At 43.7% G+C, this 26,358-nt stretch overlaps 1 long non-coding RNA gene across 4 annotated transcripts in view; it reads left to right on the top strand.

Annotated features, from left to right (window-relative positions):
- LOC105377095 (uncharacterized) overlaps positions 1-26,358 on the top strand; it is a 48,956-nt gene that overhangs the window by 2,672 nt on the left and 19,926 nt on the right. For 2 of the 4 annotated variants that reach the window (XR_940848.3, XR_940850.3), the window contains exons 2-4: positions 1,079-1,165; positions 4,363-4,558; positions 23,294-23,366. This is a non-coding gene — a long non-coding RNA (uncharacterized LOC105377095). Of the gene's footprint in view, positions 1-1,078; positions 1,166-4,362; positions 4,559-23,293; positions 23,367-23,472; positions 23,667-24,080; positions 24,411-26,358 lie in introns of those variants that run through there. The other 2 variants (XR_940849.3, XR_001740708.2) reach the window with 2 other exon arrangements.

Here is a 26,358-nt window from a genome sequence, read left to right as displayed (position 1 = left end):
TACAAAGAAAAATTCTAAAATAACTACTTATAAAGCTTAAATGAATTTAATTAGACTGCTAAAAATGAAAAAAAAAAATGCTAAATTATAACCACCCTAGACATGATTAATTACATTTACATTATGCAGAAAGCACAGGAATGAAACCACCCCACGGCTTTTTCTTCCCAGATTCAGAGGTATATACTGTTGCCAGCAAGACAGCTCCTGGCAGAGGCAGACCTAGACCCAGTGTCTGCAGTCAAAACAGTGAGGGTTTGAACAGAAAGGGTCTCTGCCTGCCTCCACAGCCTCATGATCACTGAGCCACCTCTGCAACTTGGGCCCATTTCCTGAAATCCCTTCCTGCCTCTTCCTCAGTGAGAATACATGGAGCGCCCCCCCATGCCAGATCCAGCCATCCATCATCCCTTGCCCCAGCCCCCCTGGGCCTAGGACACATCATCATTTTTTTGGTTTTTTGTTTTTTGTTTTTGGAGACAGCATTTTGCCCTGTCACCCAGGCTAGAGTGCAATGGCACCATCATGGCTTGCTGCAGCCTCGACCTCCTGAACTCAACCAATCCTCCTACCACATCCTCCCGAGTAGCTGGGACTACAGGCACATGTCACCACACCCAGCTAATTTTTTTTTTTAGACATGGGGTCTCACTATGTTGCCCAGGCTGATCTCAACCTCCTGGGCTCAAGCAATCTTCCTGCCTTGGCCTCCCAAAGTGCTGGGATTACAGGTGTGAGCCACCATTCCCAGCCTACACCACAGTTTTTGATCTGTCTTGCCAATTGTCATTACAGTAGGTACCCAGGAAACAAGTGCAGAATGAATGAATAGAGATTGGCAAAGTCAGCACTCCCCATGGGAGACTAAGAAGGACAGATAAGTCAAGTGGTCCATGGCACATTAAGTGGAAAAAACTAGGTATCAAACAGTGTATAGAGAGGACAATCCCATTTTAATTTTATCAAATGGTGTGTACATGAAAAGAAAAAAATCCTGGAAAGACATCAGCATTCAAAGGTGGGAAGCACTGGGTAGATATAGACAAGACACTAACAGAGAGGTTCTCTCTCCTCCTAGGCTTCTTTCCTCATCAGGGAAGTAAACATTTTACCAGAAACTCCCTGGCAGCCTTTTCCTGAACTGTCCTAAGGGCTATGGCTGAAGGTAAACTAAGAAAATGAGGGCCTGGGTTTTTCAGTCTCTATTATGGCCAGTGAGGACAGAAGGAGGGAGCTGGGAATAATTAACAGTGTTTACCCCATGTAGTCTCAATCTTGTGTGTCTTTAGCATATATTTACTGAGTATGTGCTATATGCCAGGCCCTATTCTGAGTAAGGAGATAAAGCAGTGATGAAGACAGAAAGTCCTGGATCTCATAGGGTTACATTCTAGATATGTCTATTCATGTCTACTGGAGGTAGCTGCACAATACATGTTATAAAATAGTAAATCATATGGTATACCAGGCAGCAAGGAGGGCTGTGGGTAAAGCAATACAGGGGCAATGTAGTCAGGAATGCCTGGTGGAGCCAGGACTGTAATCCTAAATAGAGTGGCAGGGGAAGGTCCATAAGGAGGTGACTTGTCAGGCAGAAGGGAGCCAGCAGGAGGGTGCCTAAGGATGGAGCTTCTCTAGCAGTGGGAGCAGACAGGGCAAAGACCCAGTAATGGAATGTGCCTGGCACACCTCTGGCACAGTGGGGAAGCCATTGTGGCTGGGGCAGATGTGCATATGGTCAGGGATGGAACTGGATGCCAAGATGGCCTGGGGCCTGGTAGAGCATCATGAGGATTTGAGTCTCACTCTAAGAAAATCGAGGAGCCACTGGAGGGTTGAGAGCAAAAGAGTGACAGGATTTAACTTCCATTTTTTAAACAGCTTTATTGAGATATAATTAACCTACCACACAATTCACCCATTTAAAGTATACAACGCAGCCGTGCACAGTGGCTCACACCTGTAATCCCAGCACTTTGGGAGGCCAAGGCAGGAGGATGACTTGAGGTCAGGAGTTTGAGACCAGCCTGGGCAACATGGCGAAACAATGTCTCTACAAAAAATACAACAATTAGCCAGGTGTGGTGGCATGTGCCTTTGGTCCCAGCTACTCAGGAGGCTGGGGTGGAAGGATCACTTAAGCCCTGGAGGTGGAGGTTGTGGTGAGCCAAGATTGGGTCACAGCACTCCAGCCTGGGTGATAGAGCAAGACCCTGTCTCAAAAATAAATAAATAAATACATAAAATACAGTGTACAAGTCAATGGGCTTTAGTATATTAACTGTGTTGTGCAACCATCTCCACAGTCTAGTTTTAGAACAGTTTTAGTCCCCCTCCCCTACAGAAAGTACACACACCCCTTAGCCACTCCCCACTTCCCCACCCCAGTCCCCGGGCAACCACTAATCTGCTTTCCATCTCTATAGAATTGCCTATTCAGGACATTTTATATAAATTGGATTATACAATACATGGTCTTTCATGACTGGTTTCTTTCACTTAGCAGAGTGTTCTCAAGGCTCATCTATGTTGTGACATATATCAGTACTTCATCCTTTTTATTGTTAAATAGTATTCCATTGTATGGACGTACCCCATTTTGTTTATCTATTCATCAGTTGATGGATATTTGGGTTGTTTCCACTTTGGGGCTATTATGAGTCATACTGCTATAAGTATTATATACAAGATTTTGTATAGGTGTATGTTCTCAATTCATTTTGAGAAACTGCCAAACTGTTATCCATGATGGTTATACCATTTGACATTCCCACTAGAGGTGTCTGAGGGTTCCGGTTTCTCCACTGCAATGCTTGTATTGCCTGCATTTTTATTACAGCTGTCCTAGAGGGTGGGAAGTAGTGGTCTGGATTGTGAACTCAACTGAATTTGACCACAAGGGTCAAATTTACAGTTTTCTAATGACTAATAATGCTGAGCATCTTTTCATATACTTACTAGCCATTTCCATGTCTTCTTTGAAGAAATGTCAATTCAAACCCTTGCCCATTTAAAAACTTGGTTTATTTGTCTTTTTCTGACTTTTTTCTTCCTTTTTTTTTTCTTTTTGTGGAGATGAGGTCTTGCTATGTTCTCCAGGCTGGTCTCAAAAACACCTGGGCTCAAGCAATCCTTCTGCCTCTGTCTCCCTAAATGCTGGGATTACAGGCATGAGCCACCATGCCTGGCACGACATATTTTAAAAGGCTTATTCTGACTGCTTTGTTGAGATTTCGTATACAGGGAACAAATATTACTTTTATAAACATAAGAAAAACTAAAAACTGTTTTTAAAAATTTAGTGGTCTTAGAATGGAAGGAATTGAACACAAGCTCCGGCCCTCACCATGCCTCACAGTCCATCTTTGACCAGATGTAGATCTGTCACCAGGTGTGGGGCCCAGAAAACCAGATCCTCTCAAGCCTCAGTGTCCAAATCTCTAAGTAGAAATACAGGGCCTCAGTTAGGACATGTGTAGAAGGCTCAAAACGAGGCAACTGGGATGGCTGGGCCTTGCCCATCACAAGACGACACAAGGGCAAGGTGTCAGGCCTAGACATAGAGAGAGACAGCTGCGTTACTCAACAATCTTTCCTCAGACATACCTGATGGTACTGTGGGAACTGGGTTCTTCCCACTGAGTGCCTGAGATCTAAGATCTTCTCAAATCAAAGTAGAGGGATGGAATGGCTGGTTTGTAGTTTGATCATCGTTTTCAGTTGATATTGTTCTGGAATTAGATGGTGAGTCTGGACTCACCTATCCTGAAAGATAATCATGAAATATGAGGGAAAGCACAAATATAAATCGTCTGCAACTTAGGATTTTTCAAATTTATGATGGTGCAAAAGTGACATGCAGTGAATAGAAACCATACTTTGAATTTTGAATTTTGATCTCTTCCCAGGCTAACAATATGCAGTCCAGTGCTCTCCATGCAGGAGAGTGGCAGTAAGTGGCAGCTCCCAGTCAGCCACGTGACCACGAGGGTCAACAACCAGCACTATGCAGTGCACTGTGTTGTGAGATGATTTTGCCCAACTGTAAGCTAACGTCAGTGTTCTGAGCACATTTACCATAGGCTAGGCTAAGCTATGATGTTCCATATGTTAGGTGTAGTAAATGCATTTTTGATTTATGATATTTTCAACTTATGATGGGCTTATCCGGCTGTAACCCCATACTAAGTCAAGGAACATTTGCACCTAATGGGGTAATGGGTGAAAAATGACTGTACACATATTCATAGGGAAGAAAACTAGAAGAAAATATACTGCAATAGTTAGGGAAAGCTACTGAAGCAAAAGAATGCACCAATACTTTGGGGAAAAAAAGACTTTCCTTTCTCTCCCACATAACAGTGTAAGTGAGTGGCCCTGGAGGTGGGTGCCTCTCCCCGGCGCAGTTTTTCCTTCCATCACAAGCATGGCTGAAGCTGGGTGGTGGTGCATACAGATTCCAGCCAGCAAGGAGGGGAAAGAGAGTTCAGAGGACTCACCTCCACTGTCCCCGACCCAGGCCTGTAGCATCTATATTGGCTCCTCTCAGGTTCCACAGGTAAGAACCACATCACCTGTTTACACCTAGCTGCCAGGGAGGCTGGGAAAGGCTGGTTAGCTGGATGCTCATAGCCTGACTATAACTCTATTTCTGTGGAAGGAAGAAGAGTGGCTGCTGTTAAACAGCCTGGGGTCTCTGCACTGTACACCAAAATGCTCAAGTCTGTGACTATGGGGTAGGCTTGTGGGTATTTTTATTTTCTGCTTTACATAGATATCTGGATTTTTCTGAAGTTTTCATATTGCCCTGAGGAGATGTACAGAATAATAGTCGTGGCTATAGTCATGAGTTCTGGAGTCAGACTGCTAGATGCAAATTAGCCTTACTAACTAGGTGACCTTGGACTGATGACTCTTCCTTGCTGACCCTTTGTTTTCCTCTTCTGTGTCATGGGAACAATACTAGAACCTACCTTCCTGGGCAGTTGTGAGAATCACAGGAGTGAAGGCCTACCACATGCTTAGCATAGAGCCTGGTGCACAGTAAGAGAGTGCTGAATAGGATTGGGTGTTATCAGCATTACCATGATTTGGGTGGTGGTTATTAGCACAAAGCCACCTAATATACAGGCCCTAGTTGTGTTTGGAGTATCACTTGTGATGCTGCCTCCTTTTTCTTTTCTCTCCTTCCTTCTCCTCAACTCCGTCAACAAGTTCATTTATTCATTAAACCCTCAAGGCCCGTCTGTCTCATCTCTCCCACTGTCTTTATCCTGTCTCTCTATCATACCTTCTTCTTCATCTCCCTGCAGATGTCCCAGGTTTGGCGGCACCTGTGGTTCCTGCTTCGAGGTAGAAGTGAGGACAGCCTTTCAGGTCCCTGTAGTTATTTAGATCTGATATCAAGGGTAGAACCTCACTCCCATTAGCACCCCTGGGGCATTCTGGAGAGGAGCTGGCCCTTAGGTTGGTCCCCTGCCTGCGTCCCAGTTAGCAGAACTGATCCCACCTCTCCTATCTACTCCTCATCCTCCTCTCTTCTTCCTTTTCTTTCCTCTCTGTACCCAAACACATAACACGTGCAAGCTTGGATGGGCACAAGTTGAGGAGCCTTTTAAACAGCTCATTAAAACTATTAAAAGCTGGAAACTGACCTTGGGAAATGACTGTGCAATAGCTTTATTAGATTGCTTAGGGGGGAAAAAAGAAAGTCTGGCTGATTTCTCAGGGCTCTCCGTACAAGCTTCTAAATTTGGATCTCAGGAATTATTGAGCTTCTACTGGAAAAAAGAAAAAAAATTCTGAAGTCTTGCCAAAGCCCAGAGTAATTCTCCAGCTCTTTCTCCCAGAGCCCTTGGAAAGGGAAGAGGCCAGGCTTTTAGATTGAGGGAGGGAGGATGGTTGTTGTTGTTGTTGTTGTTAAGTTCTTGTAGGGGAAGAAGTACGTGGAGGGATTGAGGATTTGCTACCAACTGACCTCTCTCTCTTTACAACCCTGTGCTGAATTTTCGCAGGCATTTATGATTGATGGGAAGTAGGAGGTAGACAAAACACCAAAAACCCACCTAGTAAAGAAAAGCAATCGATTCAAAACATATTTCAAAGACAAAGGCACAGAAGCAGTTACTTGTTCTGTTTTCAAAAGGGGTTATGTGTAGGGGGCTGGGCACTCGTGGAAAGGAAATGGGAGCGAACTGAGAACGTACAAGTACAGAAGCCCAGGTGTGTTTGTGGGGCTGAGTGCTGACCTGGTCCGGTGTGGCAGGGAGGGCCTAACTGGGGGTCCAAAGGCTAGGTTCCAGGGCCAGCCCTGCCCCAAATCGAAGCAAGTCCCTCCTCCCCACCAGCTTCTCCCACAGATGATGAGAAGAATGAATACTGACCTCCAAGGTCCCTTTGTAACCACATCACACCAATCTGGTTCAACTTTTATGTAACAAATGGTGAGTTGTTTTTCAGTGGCCATGGACCCCCAGGTTAAAAGTCACATAATCTGAGCATTACCAGGTGAACCAAGTGTGCAACCCACAGGGGGAACCTAAGGGCTTGGACTGAGGAGGAGGGACTAAATTAAGAAGTGGACACTGCACAGCAGGATCCAGGATCCAATCAGATCGAGCTCTGGCATCATCCCATGGCAGGATCCAATCAGATTATGCACCCTGGCATCACCTCATTGCAAGATCCAATCTGATCACACCTCATTACCCTGTTCTTATAAAACCTGACCCAAACCCCAGCTTGGGGATAGAGATTTGAGTGTTTTCTCCTGTCTTCTTGCCAGTCAACTACAATAAAGCTTTTCTTTTCTCAAAAGCTGGTGCCATGGTATTGGCTTCCATGCACATCAGGCAGTAAGCCCATTGATTGCTCGGTGATAATTTCAGCTCCTAGCACTCCACGGAGTTTACTGGATCAGAGTCAATCCATGTGTCCTGGGCATCTACTGCATGCCAGGCACTGCACTGACCATGTCATCAGGCCCTTCTACACTCATGTCATGTAATCATCACAGCATCCCATGACAGGATCATTGGCCCCATTTTTCAGAGGAGATGACTGAGACTTAAGGGGAGAAAGTGACCTGTTCCACACCACACAGCTATCCAGTGATGATGCCAGAGCTCACACCCACCTTCTCTGAGGCCCGGCCAAACATGCTTGCATTGTGCAGCCTGGGCATGCATGTGCACACAAACAAGTTGACAGGAGGGAGTTCAGTCACATGACTCCCTCTCCCCCTTCCTCAGCACCTTGAGGGCCAGCCCTGTGCATTAATCCCTATGAGATCCCGAGTAGCCAGCCCAGGGCTGAGAAGCGAAGAAGACAGAGATGAAAAAACATGGAGTTCCTGCTCTCAAGGTGCTAAGGAAAGCAAGTAACAGGCTTTTTTTCTCTGATATTCAAGTTTGACCAAGTCCATCTTATAGAGGATCCTGACTAACCTTCCCTAAAGGGACTGGACCAGCTGCAGTCTTGGTCTGGACCTCTTCCTTGGGAGGCATGGGGCCTCGGAGAGCCTCTGAAATGGCCCATGACTCAGTGTCCTCCTCTGAAGAATGGCCAGAATGACAGTTGTCACACTCCTTAGAGTAATGTTGCAAGGCTAAAACCAGATCTTTTTTTGTGGATAATAAAATGTGCAAAGCAATATCTCAGTAATCAAAAGGTGTTTGACAGAAGGACGTTCATTTAGAAGTCTGGGTTTGACAGGTTTGTGTTTCTCAGTTGGTTCCTTTTTTCTAAAGTCCATTCTTATTGTATTTTCATATCTTTCTCAAAGAAAACAAAAGGAAGGAAAACGATGTTTTTCTAACATTATAAAAATAGGGCACTAGCTCTGTATGCAGGTGAATTTCACCATGCATTCAGGCAAAATCCAGCCCATGCTCCTTGGCCCAAGCCCTCCTGCAAGGAAAGTCCTGGGATGTCCCTCCCTTTGCCCTGCAAACTACTAAGACAGATGATCGACATTGCCAGGAGTTCAAGAAATTGGCTCCAAGTAGGAAAGAAGGAAGGGATCTAGGAGATACTCACGGCCTAGGAGCTCAACACCAGCCTGGGCAACATGGTGAAACCTCATCTCTCCAAAAACACAAAAATGAGCCAGGCATGGTGGTGCATGCCTGTGGTCCCAGATACTTGGGAGGCTGAGGTAGAAGGATCACCGGAGCCCAGGAGGTCGAGACTACAGTGAGCCGTGATAGCACCACTTCACTCCAGCCTGGGTGACAGAATGAGACCGTGTCTCAAAAAATAAAAAAAAAAAATTTTAAAAAGGTGATATGACACTACATTCCTTGATAATATACGTGCCAGATGGTAATTGGTAATATTATTATTTCTATGCAAATTGTTCTTTTCCTCTACAGACTCAGAATTCTTCCTGAGTCTATTTTCTTTTGAAATTTAATTTAAAGATATGAAAATGAGATACCCCTTCTCATCCGTCAGATAGGCAAAAATCCAAAAATTTGACAACATAGTCTGTTGGTGAAGCTGTGGGGAAATGGGCACTCTCGCCCACTGCCAATGGGAATGAGGAATACTACAACCCTGTGGAGGGAAATTTGATAGCATCTAGCAAAATTACACATGCCCTTATCCTTCGACCCAACAAAGTCACTCAAAGTCCTTCAACCCAACAGAGATACACAGGCAAAAATGCACAAAAGACATAAGAGACATATCAATCAATTACAATGCATGGACCTTATTTGAGTCCAGATTTGAAGAAATAAAATGAAATTTTAAGACAGAGAAATATGAACACTGATTGGGTGTTTGAAATCCTAAGGAATTTTAAATACTTTTAGTTGTTATCATGGTATTGTGATAATGTTTTTCTTAAAGTTTCCTTATCTGTTAGTGAGACTTACTGAAATATTTATGAATGGAATACAATGTCTGGGATGTACTTAAAAATAATCCAGGAGGAGGGAGTGTGTGGGTGACAGTACTTGGGGGTTTATTACAGTGTCCTATTTTTGTACGTTTGGAAGTTTCCGTAATCTAAGTAAGACATTACAGATAAAGCTGAATCCCCCTTGACACCATCTTAACCCCAGGACTCTTTCCTCTCCCCAGGTAACCACTGCTTTCAGTTTGCTCTGAAGCCTTCTACACATTTCTCTGGGCATTTAAGTGTCATATATGTACTCACAAGGGGTGAGGGATAGTATTTTTTTGAGGACTGCTTTTTTTTCCATTTACAGCAATGATATCATCCTGACGTATTATCCTGCCTCGTGTTTTCTGCCTAGCCATATGTCTTGGAGAGCTTCCATGTCAGCACACAGAGCAATGAAAGAATTCTGTTCTTCCATTGCCACACATGTGTCATGGAAAGGGTGTGACATCGATTATTTACAAATTCTCATAATGATGGGCATTGATGTTGTTCCCAATTTTTAGACTACAATTATTGCTGCAATGAACATCTTTGGATGGATTGCCTCATGAATGAAAGTGATTCTATAGTGTAGATAGTAAGAAATTGAATTGTTAAGCCCTAAGTTATTTTTGATGCTGTTTGAATAGATCCTAACCCTCACCCTGTCTCTCCTTTGACCTGTCTTCTATCAGTAAGGTCTCAGTCAAATGGGGCACTCAACAAATGGGAGATGCTATTTTTCATTGTTGTTACCACCTGATATGGTTTGGCTGTGTGTCCCTACCTAAATCTCACGTCCCTACCTAAATCTCACGTCAAATCATAATCCTCAGTGTTGGAGGAGGAGCCTGCAGGAGGTGATTGAATCATGCGGGCAGTTTCTAATGGTTTAGCACCATGCCCCTAGTGCTGTTTGTTTAAAAGTGTGTAGCACTTCTCCCTTCTCTCTCTCTGTCTCCTTCTGGCCATGAGAAGATGTGCTTCCTTCCCCTTTGCCTTCCACCATGATTGTAAGTTTCCTGAGGCCCTCCCAGAAGCAGAAGCCTGTACAGCCCATAGAACCATGAGCCAATTAAACCTCTTTTCATTATAAATTACCCAGTCTCTGGTAGTTCTTTATAGCAGTGTGAGAATGGACTAATACAACAGCATTCCTATCATTTCATAATTTCATCTCCTATCCCTCCTCTATCTCTTAGAGTTATTGCTCTAGGCTCACACTTCTATCCCCTGCTTTCTGATACAATCTGCTCAGCAATCCCTCATCTCACCACCTCTCCACCATGTGCCTCTGGAGGAGCCCTCACCATGGACCTTCCCACCTCGCCAGCCTCATCATATTTCTTCATGCTCCCCCTGATTTCTGCTCTTTAACCACATGGGCCTGTCTCTCTTTGGATGTACCCTGACTCCTCCAAAGCATTGCACTCCCTGTTCCCTCTGTCTATCCTGCCCCATCTAGTGACCCTGACTCTTCCTTCTGTTCTCAGCTTCATTGTCATTTTCCCAAGGCAGGCATCCCTAACATCCTGCCCTGGAAGTGCTGAGTATCTTTCATGAAAGCATATAGAGTAGTTCTTATAACACACTTTTTAAAAAAGTTTTTTTAGATGGAGTTTTGCTCTGTCACCCAGGCTGGAGTGAAATGGTGCCATCTCAACTCACTACAACCTCTGCCTCTTGGGTTCAAGCAATTCTCGTGCCTCTGCCTCCGAGTAGCTGGAATTACAAGTGTGCACCAACACGCCCAGCTAATTTTTTGTATTTTTAGTAGAGACAGAGTTTTGCCATATTGGCCAGGCTGGTCTCAAACTCCTGACCTCAGGTGGTCTGCCTGCCTTGGCCTCCCAAACTGCTGGGATTACAGGCATAAGCCACCATACCTGGCCAATAACACACCTTTTTTTCTGGGTTTTTTTTTTTTTTGGAGGCAGAGTTTTACTCTTGTTGCCCAGGCTGGAGTGCAATGCCAGGATCTTGGCTCACTGCAACCTCCACCTCCCGGGTTCAAGCGATTCTCCTGTCTCAGCCTCCCAAGTAGCTGGGATTACAGGTATGCACCATCACACCTGGCTAATTTCGTATTTTTCGTAGAGACGGGGTTTCACCATGTTGGTCAGGCTGGTCTCGAACTCCTGACCTCAGGTGATCCACCTGCCTTGGCCTCCCAAAATGCTGGGATTACAGGAGTGAGCCACCATGCCTGGTCTATAACGCACTTTTAAAATAAATCTGACTGATATCTGTCTTTGCCATTATATTTCAAGTGCTCAAAGGGCAGAAACTGAGGGCATTTTTGCTCACCCAAGATCTCCCACAGAGCCAAGTACACAATGGGGCCTCGATAAATATTCACCAAATAAATGAAGGAACTATGGAATGCCTATTCACATATGGCACTCCCTTCATTTGCATATTTTACTTGACCCCTGCTTCACCACGAGGCCCAGTAGTAGAAGAAAGTCAAGCATCTCCAGGGGCCATTGGCCAGAATTCCCTTAGATGCCCTTTTGTGATGTGAACTTACATGTTTTTATAAAACAGTAGCCCTTTCATGAAACATTCCTCTGGGTAGAAGAGATGGTTCACAGTTGTCTCCCAATTCCTATAGCACGTCTCAAAGCACGTTGAGTGTTTAATCCGGTGTGACATCATGCACAGCCCTGCTTCCTTGGCTGCTGGACTGGTGGCCAAGTCTGGATCCTAGTGGTCTTGCCTCCACTGGGCCTGGTAGCTGCACTTCTAGAAAGTGTTCCACAAAGATTACTGAGTGAGACAGTGAGTGCATGCATGCAGGAATAATTATGTGGCACTTAAATGGTAATTCCCTTCTAACTGTGGGGTCCCAGGTGAATGCTGTTTCACAAGCTAGAAAACACACCAAAGTGCTTTCAAGAAAAAAATCCTGGCCCCGCTGCTTCCTCTCTGCAGCTCAGCCCTTGCGGCTAGTAGGAAGGCCATCCTGGAAAGGCTTTTTATTCCCACAATGCCGTGCAAGCCCAGCTCCTTGCTGCTTGCCTGCCTTTGCCAGCAGGTCAGAGTCCCTGAAGGTGATCTGTTGAGCATCTTCTCCCCACACAGTCCATCCTTTAATTTTGCTGCCAGAATGTTGAATGCCAAGTTTTTCTGGGCAAGCTGGCAACTTTTGTGGCTGGCATGTCTGTTTTCCTCCACTTAGTCACCATTTTTTTCTCTTTGAAAACCTTTATTTTATAAATTTTACTGTATAAATTATTTTGATATGTTGCTTCAAATTCAACTGAAGGAGAAAAAAAGAACCTGATAAGTATCCTGAATAAAATTTTACATCGGAAGCTTCCAATTTCTGGTTCTACTCCACGAATTTGGAAAGAATCTCAAGATTGAGATGACTTCAGGCAACATATGCACCTTCAGAAAATTGCACCCTCCTTGGGAGAAATGGCTGAGTCCAGGGCTGGGGCACAGAAAGTACAAGATGAACTTGGAACATCTTGCTGTGCCAGAAAATAAGAAAAGGCTCACAGAATGATGGGGACATGTCAAATTTGAGGCAGGTTTAAAGGGGCCAAATCTGAGACAATTTTAACATCAAAATAAATAATGATACTAAAATAGTATAGCCTATAGAGTAAAATAGGAATGAATAAGCCTATATACTCAATTAATTAGTTAATTAATTAGAGGAGAAGTTGTCTTTCTTGCAGTAGAAAGATAGACAATGAATGTAAAAGGAATGACAGAAAATCACCACTGGGCAATCACCAGATCTATAATTTTCAGGCAAGAATCACAATGGATAAAAACACTAGGGGGTGAAAAGGTTGAGGACTAAAAGAATATTTACACAGTCTCCAAGCATCTCCCCATAGGATGCATATAAATTACAAAGGAATAAAAGAGAAACATTACAATGGGAAAAAAAAGATGAAAGTTAATATCAATGGTAAGGGAACAATTAAATAGTGTGTATTTCCTGCTATGATGCACTGAGAAAAATGCAACATTCCTCCTGTATATTTATACTAAAGAATCGCAGACTGACTCTAATCATGTGGAAACAGCAGATAGTCAAAGTGGGGCCATTCTATAACATAACTGGCCAGACAACTGTACATCTAAATAAGATGAATTTTACTGAATGTGGATTATACCTCAATACACCTGATTTAAAAAACAAAAACTGGCCTGGATGCTTCAAAAATATCAACGTCATGGAAAACAAAGAAAGGCTAAGGACTGTTCCAAATTAAAGGACATTAAATAGACAAAACAAGTGAATGCAACATGTGATACAAGATTTTCTTTTTGCTATAAAGAAATTAGTGAAATAATGAGGAAAATCTGAATAAGATTTGTAGATTAGACAATAATATATAAATGTTAATTTTCTGATTTTGATGACTCTACTATGGTTATGTAAGACAATGATCTTGTTTTTGGGAAATAGACTCTTAAGTATTTAATAGCTGTCTTAGTCAGTTTGGGCTGCTATAACAAAAATATCGTAGACTGGATTAAACAATAGAAATTTATTTCTCACAGTTCTGGAGCCTGAAAGTCCAAGGTCAGGATGCCAGCATGGTTGGGTCTGGTTAGGGCCCTCTTCCTGGTTCACAGAGGGCCGTCTTCTCCTTGTATCCTCATGTGACTGCTAACAAAGAGGAAGCAAGTTCTCCCATGTCTTTTTATAAGGGCACTAATTCCATTCATGAGGGCCCCACCCACGTGACCTAATTACTCCTAAAGGCTACACTTCTTTTTTTTTTTCTTCAACTTTTATTTTAAGTTCAGGGATAATATGGTTTGGTTGTGTCCCTACCCAATCTCACCTTGAATTGTGGCTCCCATAATCCCCACGTGTTGTGGGAGGGACCCAGTGGGAGGTAATTGAATCGTGGAAGTGGGTTTTTCCTATGCCGTTCTCATGATAGTGAATAAGTCTCATGAGATCTGATGGTTTTATAAAAGGCAGCTCCCCTGCATACAGGCTCTTGCCTGCCTCCATGTGCAACATGCGTTTGCTCCTCCTTCACCTTGCGACATGATTGTGAGGCCTCTCCAGCACTGTGGAACTGTGAGTCCATTAAACCTCTTTTTCTTTATGAATTACCCAGTCTCAGTATTTCTTCATAGCAGTATGAAAACGGACTAATACAAGGGTTACATGTGCAGGATGTGCAGATTTGTTACATAGGTAAATGTGTGCCATGGTGGTTTTCTGCACAGATCATCCCATCACCTCGGTATTAAGCCAGGCATCCATTAGCTATTCTTCCTGATACTCTCCCCTCTCCCACCCCCACTCCCGAAGGCCCTCAGTGTGTGTGGTTCCCCCAACATGCATCCATGCATTCTCATTGTTCAGCTCCCACTTATAAGCAAGAACATGTGGTGTTTGGTTTTCTGTTCCTGCATTAGTTTGCTGAGGATAAGGGATTCCAGCTCCATCCATGCCGCTGCAAAGGACATGATCTTGTTCATCTTTATGACTGCGTGGTATTCCATGGTGTATATGTACCACATTTTCTTAATCCAGTCTATGACTGATGGGCATTTAGGTTGATTCCATGTTTTTGCTATTGTGAACAGTGCTGCAATGAACATAATCTTTATAATAGAATGATTTACATTCCTTTGGGTACATACCCAGTAATGAGATTGCTGGATCAAATGGTATCTCTCCCTCTAGGTCTTTGAGGAATTGCCACACTGTCTTCCACAGTGGTTGAACTAATTTACACTCCCACCAACAGTGTAAAAGCATTTTTTTGTTTTGTTTTGTTTTGTTTTGTTTTTTCCTCCGCAACCTCACCAGCATCTGTTGTTTTTTCATTTTTTAGTAATAGGCATTCTGACTGGCATGAGATTGTATCTCATTGTGGTTTTGATTTGCATATCTCTAATGATCACTGATGTTGAGCTTTTTTTGATGTTTTTTGGCCACATAAATGTCTTCTGAGAAGTATCCGTTGATGTCCGTTGCCTGCTTTTTAATGGGGTTGTTTTTTTCTCTTGTAAATTTTCTTGTACAACTTTTCCTGTAAATTTTTCTTGTGAATTTAAGTTCCGTGGAGGCTCTGGATATTAGACCTTTGTTAGATGGACAGACTACGGAAATTTTCTCCCATTCTGTAGGTTGTCTGTTCACTCTGATGATAGTTTATTTTGCTGTGCAGAAGCTCTTTACTTTAATTAGATCCCATTTGTCAATTTTTGCTTTTGTCACAATTGCTTTTGGCATTTTCATCATGAAATCTTTGCCCATAAAGATCCACATCTTATTAAATCACATTCAGGGTTAGGATTTCAACATAGGAATGGGTGGGGGAGGGGCACAAATGTTCAGTTCATAGCAGCAGTAAAGGGGCATTATATCATGTCTGCAATTAAGATCAAACGGTAGGTAGGTAGGTAGATAGATACACAGATACACATAGGATAACATGGTAAAATGTTACATCTGAGAAATCTGGATAAAGGGTATGTGGGAATATTCTCTCAACTTTTCTGTAAGTCTGCAGTTATCAAAGTTAAAAAAAAAAAAAAACTCAGAGGGAGGAAGGAAGGGAGAGAGAGAAAGATTTGCACCAAAGCACTTTCCTTGACAGGTGGATATCCCATTCTTTACAACCTTGAGGGGGAAATTTTGCCATTCTCTCTCAGAAATCTCGTTAGTCTCCCGTGGTACTAACTTTTGATAACGAACGCCCACAATAATTTAAATCCCTTTTACTATGATTTCGCTCCACCTCCACTATTCTGAATATAGTCAGGTCAAGCCATAGAGCTGTAAAATGATGGCCTATCTTCTCTCCTGGCATTACATACCTCTACCTCTCCTTATGGTACAGATCACAGTTGTAATTCTCCATTTATTTGCATCATGCTTGGGTTTCTGTCTGTCTCTCCCACTGCACCATAAGATTCAGGAAAGCGGGGATTGGGTCTGGCTTTGCTGAACATTGTGCCTTTAATGCAAGACCCAGTACAACATGAAAATGTGGGGCTCCTGATTCAAGAACAAGTACAAGATCGCAACAGCAGAGCATTAAACCAAGAGCAAGGTCCTTCTGAGCACAGGGGATGTGCATGCCCATGGGTTGCACCCAAGGAAGCCAGCCATGGCCAGCTCAGCACCTGGTGCAGAGGAGGAGCTGGTAAATGTGTGCTACATGAATGAATGAATGAAAATTTTAAAACACATTTCCAGGCTGTATATAATGGTGACATGTCCAGTAGTCAAAACTTTTATATTGATAATTGATGTGGGCCTTCCCAAATCAACTCCAAATGGATTCTGGACTGCAGGGGGTGCCAATTCCCATTATGCATCAGGAACAACGTTGAGCTCCAGCACTCCACACCTACCTCCCCACAGCCACAAGCGGGGACAGACCATTCTGAATCTCCATGCAGGACAGCTCCTGCCAGCCTCCCCTCACCGTTTTCTTACCTTCTGCTTTCCCCCTTCTCCCCTCCCCTGCCCACACATCTCCTCTTTGGACTCAGTCCTAGAACAGAACATTCTAACCAAGGAGTGTGAGCCCCTCTGGAGCCTGCAGTATTAATAATCCCAGCTATGCCAAACTGGGCACTGAAGCAATGCCACCAGACCCCTTTTCACTCGTGACCTACATTGTCATTGGTTCCATGGACTGTTCATTCTGCAACTCGAAGAGGAAAATGTTACTATGACAACAGCTTCTAGAGTTACAGGGATGTAAAACACCTACTTTAAAAAAAAGTTCACTTACCCATATGGCAAATGGACTTCATTAGTTGTTTCTAAATCAAATATCCAAACAAGGTGGGCTGAAAAGAGAATATTTTTAAGGAGCTAATTTAGATTATAGCACCAGAACTACCCGTTTAGATACTGGAGAGTGAAGAGAGAGTACCATAGTTTTTTTAGTTTTGTTTTTAAAGACTGATATTATTAGAAATTATCTGTGTGCTCACTGTCTAATATGAATTTGCCCATATGAGAAGGAAATAGACATCTGATTCTCTCTTCTTTGTTGGTTTCTATTACATTGTCCTCTTAGCTGTCTCTTTCTAGCTCTTCCCACTCCACCATCCAGCAAATGCTGCATGTGATAGAAAGAGAGTAAGGCTCTTAGTTCTAAAGTTTAGCTTTGCTGTCTCTGAGTCCCATGACCTCAAGCAAGTTATTTCTTCTCTGAGTCCCAGTTTCTTCACTGGAGACATTCATTTATTCATTCACCCAAACATTCACAGAAGTTTCTTGAGCAATTACTATATGCCTGAAGTCACAATACCTCCCTCAGGGAGTTGTGTGGCCTGAGACCAACATCAGGTTGAAATCAATGTAGAAATCATAATCACTCGTTATCTCTGCTTCCTTTCCCTGACCCATGCTCCAGTCAAAGTTAGTAACAGCCTCCTCTGACTCTCATGGCCCCAGCCTCCCTTCGCAGCTGATTTGACTGTGTTGCATTATTGACTATGTCTATGTCACCCACTTAGACTCTGAGTGGGTTCCCCAAGGGCAAGGATTGGCTTCCAACCCACATGGTCTCTCCAGGATCTGGCACCAAATCAGGCACATCACCAGTGTCTATAAGTGGTATTGCACGTTTTCTTGTGTTCCTTGTACAATCAATGAACTCAAATCATAACCACCTTCCAGCTGTGGCTCCAGAATCCCTACATGGGAATTCTTAAGAGGGGCGCCCAGGGCCAGGTGAGGTGGCTCACACCTATAATCCCAGCACATTCGGAGGCCAAGGCCAAAGGATTTCTTGAGGCCAGGGGTTTGAGACTAGCCTGGGCAGTATAGCAAGACCCTATCACTAAAAAAAAAAAAAAAAAAAAAAAAAAAAAAAAAGCTGTTTTTAATTAGCTGGGAGTGGTAGTACACACCCACACCTGTAGTCCCAGCTACTTGGGAGGCTGAATTAGGAGGATCACTTGAGCCCAGGAGCTTGAGGCTGCAGTGAGATATGGTCGTACCCCCTTTGCTTTAGCCTGGGCAACAGAGCAAGACTCCATCTCTAAAGGAAAAAAAAAGAGGGGCACCTGTTTAAAGGCTACAGAGATTGTACCGGCATGTCTGTTTGGGTACCTTGAAGCTGTATTTGCATGACAAGCAGTCTGTTTTTGCTTGGATTATTTGTACATGGGGTGACTTGGGCAGTGTGTGCATGGCAATTATAAATGAGTTTAACCCCCACCCCTTTAGAGCCCCCAGTCCTCATAACCTCCCAGTGGAGCACCTCTTTTCTGATCCCTTGCCTCCCAGAAGTGGCCTGTGACATTCTTCACTACTTCCTCCAGAAGGACATCTCTCTTTCATTTCCTTTTTTAGCCAAAAGCCTAGTCCCAAGGGAGTGCTACAGAGAAGAAAAAATCATCACAAAACAGGGCATTAAAACTCTGGGGACACGAATCTGAAACCACCACATCACCCCTCCTTAATTTCAGAGTCTCCCTCCCCAGCCAGGCTTGGAGGGAAATGTGGAACATCACTCTGGGAATCCCTTCCGGACACCATTATGTTCTAGTTACTGCCTACGAGGACCTACTTGGTATTTCTCATCTTACCCTGATTGCATTCAAAACTTGATTAGATTCTATTGATCCTGTCATAAAAAAATAAAGCTGGTCTGCTTTTCCCCTGTAGTCTCTCATGTGCTTAATGTAAAAATCCCACCTGTGCCTCATAGGCTTAAGCCTACATTTCTTTGCTTTGCTCCACTTCCAGTTCTTTCTCTTTCCCTTCTTGGAGCTGACATCTCTCTTCAGTCTTGCAAACTGGCTTTAGTTTTTATTGCTGTTATTTGCTGGTCTCTATTAGGGCTATTTGCTCTCTCAGCTACCAGAGGGGAAAGCAGAAATATTTCTCTAACTCCCAGATAATATCATTGGCCAAACTGTTTTTCATTGAATTCATTTATATTTATTGCTTCCAAGTGTTATTTTTTCCTGTTCTGAGTAACTTACCTTATGATGAGTGGAAGGCTCACTGTGACCTAAAGTTGGGGGTTGGCCTCCTGGAAGGGTCTCTGTTCCCACAGATGATAGGCATGAGCCACTGCACCCAGCCTATCCCTCCTTTCTTCCCTTCTAATCTTACGAAATGTTTGCCTTTCCTCTCTTTTCATAGTGTTCCTAACAGGCCCCTTAAACTAGAGGGGGAAAAAGGAAAACAAAAACAAATAAACAAAAACCACTCATGGGGAATCTATGCAGACGGTACTCCCCAGGAAAACCAAGCTTCATATGATGAGATGTTTTAGGAGGTGGACAATGCCTCCACTGCAACAATGCCCACTACGAGACCCAAATATGGGAAAAATCCAGACTCCCAGCAATAGGGTTTTGGTTTCACAAGCCATGGAACACCAACACAATAGAATTCTATGCAGTCATTACATTTCAGGAAAAATGTAACTGACATAGATATTTACACAGTAGAAGCAATTCAAGTAATCTAGTATGGCTATGCAGAGTAAATATGACCTAGGACTTAATTCAGTCAGCTTTCACGGAACATTGCATTACTTTCTTGAGTTATAGAAAATAAGGTGCTGGGTACAGTGGCTCACAACTGTAATCCCAACACTTTGGGAGGCCAAGGAGGGAAGATCACTTGGGGCCAGGAGTTCAAGACCTGGGGCAACATAGCAAGACTCCATCTCTACAAAAAATTTAAAAAATTATCTGGGCATGGTGGCATGCACTTGTAGCCCCAGCTACTTGGGAGGCTGAGGTGTAGAGGAATCCTTAGTCCTAGGAGATCGAGGGCTGTGGTCAGCTATGATCACACCACTGCACTCCAGCCTGGGTGACAGAGAGGGACCCTATCTCAAAAAAAAAAAAAAAGAGGAAAGAAAAGAAAAAATAAGAATTTAATGCTCAAGTATGTTGGAAAAACTCTAGATTAATGAGAGTGAAATGAGCTTCTTGTCTCTTAAATTTCTCAAATCTTTTAATATGCCAGTGTACACCATGAATCTCCAAGAGGAGGTGCTAGGGTGCCTCATTTCTAAACTTACTTAACCCTGAGACCAGTGTTCTGGGGACCACCCTTTAGAAAAGACAGAGAAATGGATGACTGAATGCATATCTTGATAGAGCAATACAGAAGTCTAGAAGGCAAGCACAAAATGTCAACAGTGACTCGAGTTGGCTATTATGGGTGATTTTTATGACTTTATTATTATTATCATGTTGCCGATTCTTCCACAATGAACATTTCTGCCTATGTAATTAAAAATAATAAAGCTTTTGTTGTTTTCTTTTTTAAGATGACTGAAGAGAGGTTGGAGATGGGGAAGGGAGTTCTTGAACCCAGCTGTGTGACTGCCTTGTAAACCTTGCCAATGTTGATCATTGCCCTTAGACAGCAGTGAGGCCAGTTCCCTGGAGGACTTTCCCATTGTTCCTATTGGCAATCACAGAAAGCACTCTGTCTTCTACTAGAGTCTAGTCGTTACTATCTCATTGTATTAGTAATTTATAAAGAAAAAGAGGTTTAATGGACTCATAGTTCCATGTGGCTGGGAAGGCCTCACAATCATGGCAGAAGGTGAAAGGCACGTCTCACATGGTGGCAGACAAGAGAGAATAAGAGCCAAGCGAAAGAGCTTTCCCCTTATAAAACCATCAGATCCCATGACACTTATTCACTACCATGAGAATAGTATGGGGGAACCACCCCCATGATTCAGTTGTTTCCCACCGGATCCCTCCCATAACACATGGGAATTATGGGAGCTACACTTCAAGATGAGATTTGGGTGGGGACACAACCAAATCATATCAGTCATCATCATCAAAGTCAGTTGATCACTGATAGGCTTTGTTTTCAAAAATTTGTGTTGAAGCAAAATTAACCTTACTTAAATTAGCCATTTTAACGTGAGGCATTTAGTACATTCAAAATGTTATGCACCTTCCCTGGCCCCCCGCTATCTAGTTTCAACTGATAGGTGTTTGATGAGGATGTCCAGGGCTGTGCCTTGAATTTTTGCCCCCCTCCCCATGAACTTTTTCCAGAAATAATTGAGGCAGGCTGTCAAAGGAATAGATACATACTAAGGTTGTAAAGCAGAAAATCAGGGCCATAAAAGGAGAAAGAGACAAATAAACCAACCATGAGTTTAAAATGATGCTTATGATTGAGCATAAAGAGTATCCCTGAGTTTCCTGGCAGTCGGGGCAAAATGGGAAACACAAGAATAAGTGGCTATTATCAGAAAGGAGAGGGCTTGGTGTAACTCAAGTGAGCTAAAGCATTTTTATGGAACTTAATTCTAAAAGAAATTTTTCACACGGACTTTATACATAGAACATTGATATACATAATAGGCAATGCCCTTGACTATGATTTTATAACAAATGCACTTAGAAAGATATTCATATGATTGTTTTTCAACACATATTTACTGGACGAATTAATAAATGAATACATGAATGAATAAAGGATAAATCACGACCGGCTCAGTTGCATTCACATCACACAAACCCTTCATAAAGTTATGTCTGTATAACAGAACTCAATGCCCAAGGAAGACTGCAATCACTCCTAAACTAATAAAGACATTCTTTCTAAATGAACTTCATTAAATATTTGAACCAAATGAAAATATTAGGAATGTCTGGATTATCTCCTGATACCACTGACATTGCAGGAAAACCATAAGTCTTTGAGTACCGAATTGTTTTATAATTTTATAGAGCTTTTGTGATGACATGGTCTTTATTTTTTGTTCCAGATATGCATAAGGTGTTTGAAAGCTCAATTTTTTAGTTAAAGAAGATTTTCAAGTGTTCTTGGAATATGTCGACTCTCCAAAGCCATTGAAGTGTGAGAATTAGAACAGCCGCTAGGGCACAAGGTTTCCCTTTAGCCCGCCTAATTCTGTCAGTGGGATCAGTGCATTCCATTCAAAACTCCAATTCCTGTCATTCTTATCTCAGGTTTCACAAGAGAAAATTCTTCCAGCCAACAGTAATTTCATGACTTTTCTAGGCTCTAGACTCCAGATTAAGGTTTAAGAATAAGTGGAGGTGGCCAGGTGCGGTGGCTCACGCCTGTAATCCCAGCACTTTGGGAGGATGAGGTGGGCGGATCACTTAAGGTCAGGAGTTCAAGACCAGCCTGGCCAACATGGTGAAACCCCATCTCTACTAAAAATACAAAAATGAGCCAGGCATAATGGCACACGTCTGTAATCCCGGCTACTTCAGGAGGCAGAGGCAGGAGAATCGCTCAAACCCAGGAGAAAGAGGTTGCAGTGAGCCAAGATCGTGCCACTGCTCTCCAGCCTAGGCAACAGAGCAAGGCTCCATCTCGAAAAAAAAAGTGGAAGCAAGTGAGAGAAAATGCCTTGGAAGACATGTAACATTCTGGAAGACATGTCCAAAGGGTTGACAGTGGTTTGTCTTGGGGGTGAACATTATGGGCTATTTTTTATTTTAAAGTTTTTTCCTTCTCAGTAGTCTCTATTTTTTCTTACGCTTAGATTGCTGGTTCATGAAAAGCTGTTTTGTTTTGTTTATTTAAATTTTTTTTTTTTTCAGATGGAGTCTTGCTCTGTCACCCAGACTGGAGTGCAGTGGCGCGATCTCGGCTCACTGCAACCTCCATCACCCGGGTTCAAGCGATTCTCCTACTTCAGTCTCCCGAGTAGCTGGGATTACAGGCGCACACCACCAAGTGCAGCTAGGTTTTGTATTTTTAATAGAGACATGGTTTCCCCTGGTTGGCCAGGCTGGTCTCGAACTCCTGGTCTCGGGTGATTCACCCGCCTCAGCCTCCCAAAGTGTTGGGATTACAGGCGTGAGCTACTGCGCCCAGCCTGGTTTTGTTTTAATAACCAAGCAGCAATGGTTGAGTATAGGTTTAGAGGGGAGGAATCTTGGTGTTGTGGAAGGCCCCTAGTGGTTGTGACACTTTGGGTGACTACTCTCTCATCCATAACCAGAGGTGAACGTCCCCACCTCACAGTCATGCTGGAAGATTAAATGAGATAATGCAGAGATCAAGGACTCAGAATGAGTATGTGTTTATCATATTATTAATATGATACCATACATGATAACTACTAATATAATTGATGTTTGTATTTTACATAATAGCAGTGATATTAACATAACAATAGTAAAAGGAAGAATAAAGTTGTCTATAATCCCATTTCTCCAACAAATAAAGCTATTTTCTTAGTCTATAGCTATTCTATCCTGACCCACATGCTTCCTACATAGTTATTGTCATATTGTAAATGCAATTTTGCGTTCTGACTTTTTTCCTCCAACATTATGTGATACACATTTTCTGCTACATAGGAAACATTAACTGATGATTTTTTAAAGCTATGCGTATTTAGGGACAATAAGATGCAGTGACCCATTCTATAGCATTCACAGTTGCCTTCATATTTTCTAAATTAGAATTCCTCAAGATGACTGAGGTTGGTCCCTGAAGAAACCAAATTCAGTGTAAGAAAACCAACATCACAAAGAGGTAAGCAAATCAGGGCACTTTGGGTGGCAATGGAACATTAACCTTCTATAAGCTAATGGGTTTCATTTTGCTGCAACATACAATGTACCTTGGAATGTGATCCCAGGACTGTGCTACCTTTCTGCATGTGAGTGCAGAGACTGACCTTCAGAACTCAGCTGAGAGTATTAGAAGCCTGCCTGTGGAGGAAGGCCCACCCAGGCTGCATGCGCTTCCCTCCCCCAGGGGCAGAAGCCTGAGCAGGCAGAGGTGGGGGAAGGACAGAGCCATGGAATGGCCAGAGCCGGACAGAGCCAGGAGGTAAGAGGGCACAGACAGAGTGCATTCAGGCAGGGACATCAGCTGTGGGTAGGGAAGTAGCAGGGAAAATATGTTGTCAAATTTGGCCTGCAAAATGGAACACCTTGAATTCTGCTAAGGAGCTTGAATGTAATTGTGTGAGAATGGGGAAACCCCTGGCAGTTGTTGAATCAGTGAGGGGAGCAGCCAAGGTGCTGAGTTGGAAAGAGATGAGAGCAAAGTGGTTCGGGGAGACAAAGGTGAAAACAGCTCTGACAGGGGTGCAGAAGAGAAGGGAATTGCAACGTAGAGGTGGCCGGTGGGTCCTAAGGGCTGTGTTCCAGGCTCTGTTCCATGTACTTTGTGCATATTCACTAATTCAGCCCTTAGAACAATCCTCTGATTTGGGTCCTACTTGTAATTCCTATTTGCCAGATGAAAAATCAAGGTCCGGAATTATTAGGTGACTTGGGCAACTTGCCACAGTCCCAAATGGTAAGTCCTAAATGCCTCAAGACGGAAATCCAGGCAGGCTGGCCCCTGAGGCTGAGGATCCAGCTCCACACAGGACTGCCTGTCCAGAAGCGTGAGATCTTTGCCTGTAGGCTGAGTGAGACTCCACCAGATGAGTGGGCAGGCATTCCAGGCAGGGGTGATGACACATGCAAAGGCATAGAGATGATAAAACATGCTACTTACGGGAGAAGACAAAAGTGCCAAGGAAGAGAGATACGTGGTAAAGGGTGAAGATGGACAGGCCAGAGAAGGAAATCTCTGCTCTTCAGATGTCTGTGACTTGCGGGGTGGAGAGACAAAGTCTGAGAAGATCCTGCGTCCCTTCTTTTTCCCTGAGAGAGTTGTCCTGAGCAACCTACACGAGAGCTGGGTTTCATGTACTATATGGTTTACAGTGGGTGAGGATTCTCTTGGTCGAGGGTGCCTCTACTCTGGCTGGTCTCAATACAGTCATTCATTTAGCTAACAAACATTGATTGTGTGCTTCTCAATAAAGAACACCAGCTATACAGAGATTAACAAAATTGGCACGGTCCTTACAAGAACCAATACCTGAACTGAACTTCCTTCCACCAGTTCAGAACAGCCTTGTCAAAGGGTCTCCCTGAACTGCACAGCAAACTCTTGTTCTTTCTTGGGAAAAGCTCATTCTGCAGAGCAATGAGCTTGCATTGCTGGAGCTCCAGCTTCCTGCTGGAGAAGATCAGGTTTTACTCACTTGTCACTGATAAAATAAACAGGATAAGTAATTTCACCTTGATTATAGCTGCACAGAAACCAGTGATCCAACCTGATGTTTTTCTTGTTACACTCAGCGTATTCAGCCCAACGCATATCTAGGAAGCCAGCCTCCTGGCCCACCCAGGTCCCTGAGCTATGGGCCACTAACGGTGGTTGCAGCATGAGCTCTGAAGAGGGAGATGCTGGACACCAGGCTCCTGTCTCAAGGGTGTTTACTCTGGGAGAACTTGGGCCTTCTCCCAATGGACTCTAACAGGGTGGACTGTGGACTTTAACGGGGCAAAGATTCAGAACTCAATAGGTTCCCTGAAGTTGGACCATCCATTCATGCACAACTTGAAAACAACTTCTCTGAACCTGTTTTGTTCCCTCTTCCCAATGTCCCGTGTTGTAAACACCCACCTATCCATTTCTCAAAACCACGGTTCAGTTACAACTTGGCTTAAAACTTGGCCGGGCGTGGTGGCTCACCCCTGTAATCCCAGCACTTTGGGAGGCCGAGGCGGGCGGATCACGAGGTCAGGAGATCAAGACCATCCTGGCTAACATGGTGAAACCCCGTCTCTATTAAAAATACAAAAAGTTAGCCGGGCGAGGTGGTGGGCGCCTGTAGTTCCAGCTAGGCGGGAGGCTGAGGCAGGAGAATGGCGTGAACCCCGGGGGGCGGAGCCTGCAGTGAGCCGAGATCGCGCCACTGCACTCCAGCCTGGGCAACAGCCAGACTCCGTTTCAAAAAAAAAAAACTCTTCAGATGGCAGGCCAAACAAGGTGGCTCACGCCCATAATCTCAGCAATTTGGGAGGTCACAGTGGAAGGATTACTTGAGCCCAAGAGTTTGAGACCAGCCTGGGCAACATAGCGAGACCCCATCCCTACAAAAAATAAAAAAATTAGCCAGGCATGGTAGTCTCAGCAAGTCTGGAGGCTGAGGGGGGAGGTCGAGGCTGCAGTGAGCCATGATCGCACCAATGCACTCCAGCCTGGGTGACAGAGAGAGACCTTGTCTCAAAAAAAAAAAAAAAAAAAAGAGAAAAAGCTGGCTGGGTGCAGTGGCTCTTGCCTGTAATCCCAAGGCGGGCAGATCCCTTGAGGCCAGGAGTTTGAGACCAACCTGACCAACATGGTGAAAACCTGTCTCTACTAAAAATACAAAAATTAGCCAGGCATGGTAGCAGACACCTGTAATCCCAGCTACTCAGAAGGCTGAGGCAGGAGAATTGCTTCAACCTGGGAGGCGGAGATTGCAGTGAGCTGAGATCATGCCACTGCACTCCAGCCTGGGTGACACAACTAGGCTCCATCTCAAAACAAACAAACAAAAAAAAAAGGCCAACAACTCAAACAATTCTTCAGATGGCAGCATCACGACTGGGATGAACTTACCCTGAGTGAGGGGAAGGTTGAGCAGGCAAATGGCCCAGTTAGAACTCGACACACTAAGGAGCAATTCTCATGG

The sequence above is a fragment of the Homo sapiens genome, chromosome 3 (genome assembly GCF_000001405.40).
Source record: "Homo sapiens chromosome 3, GRCh38.p14 Primary Assembly".
In the NCBI taxonomy this organism is placed as follows: Eukaryota; Metazoa; Chordata; class Mammalia; order Primates; family Hominidae; genus Homo; species Homo sapiens.
The sequence above is the reverse complement of the archived record's forward strand: the minus strand, read 5'-3'. Positions and strand labels throughout refer to the sequence as shown.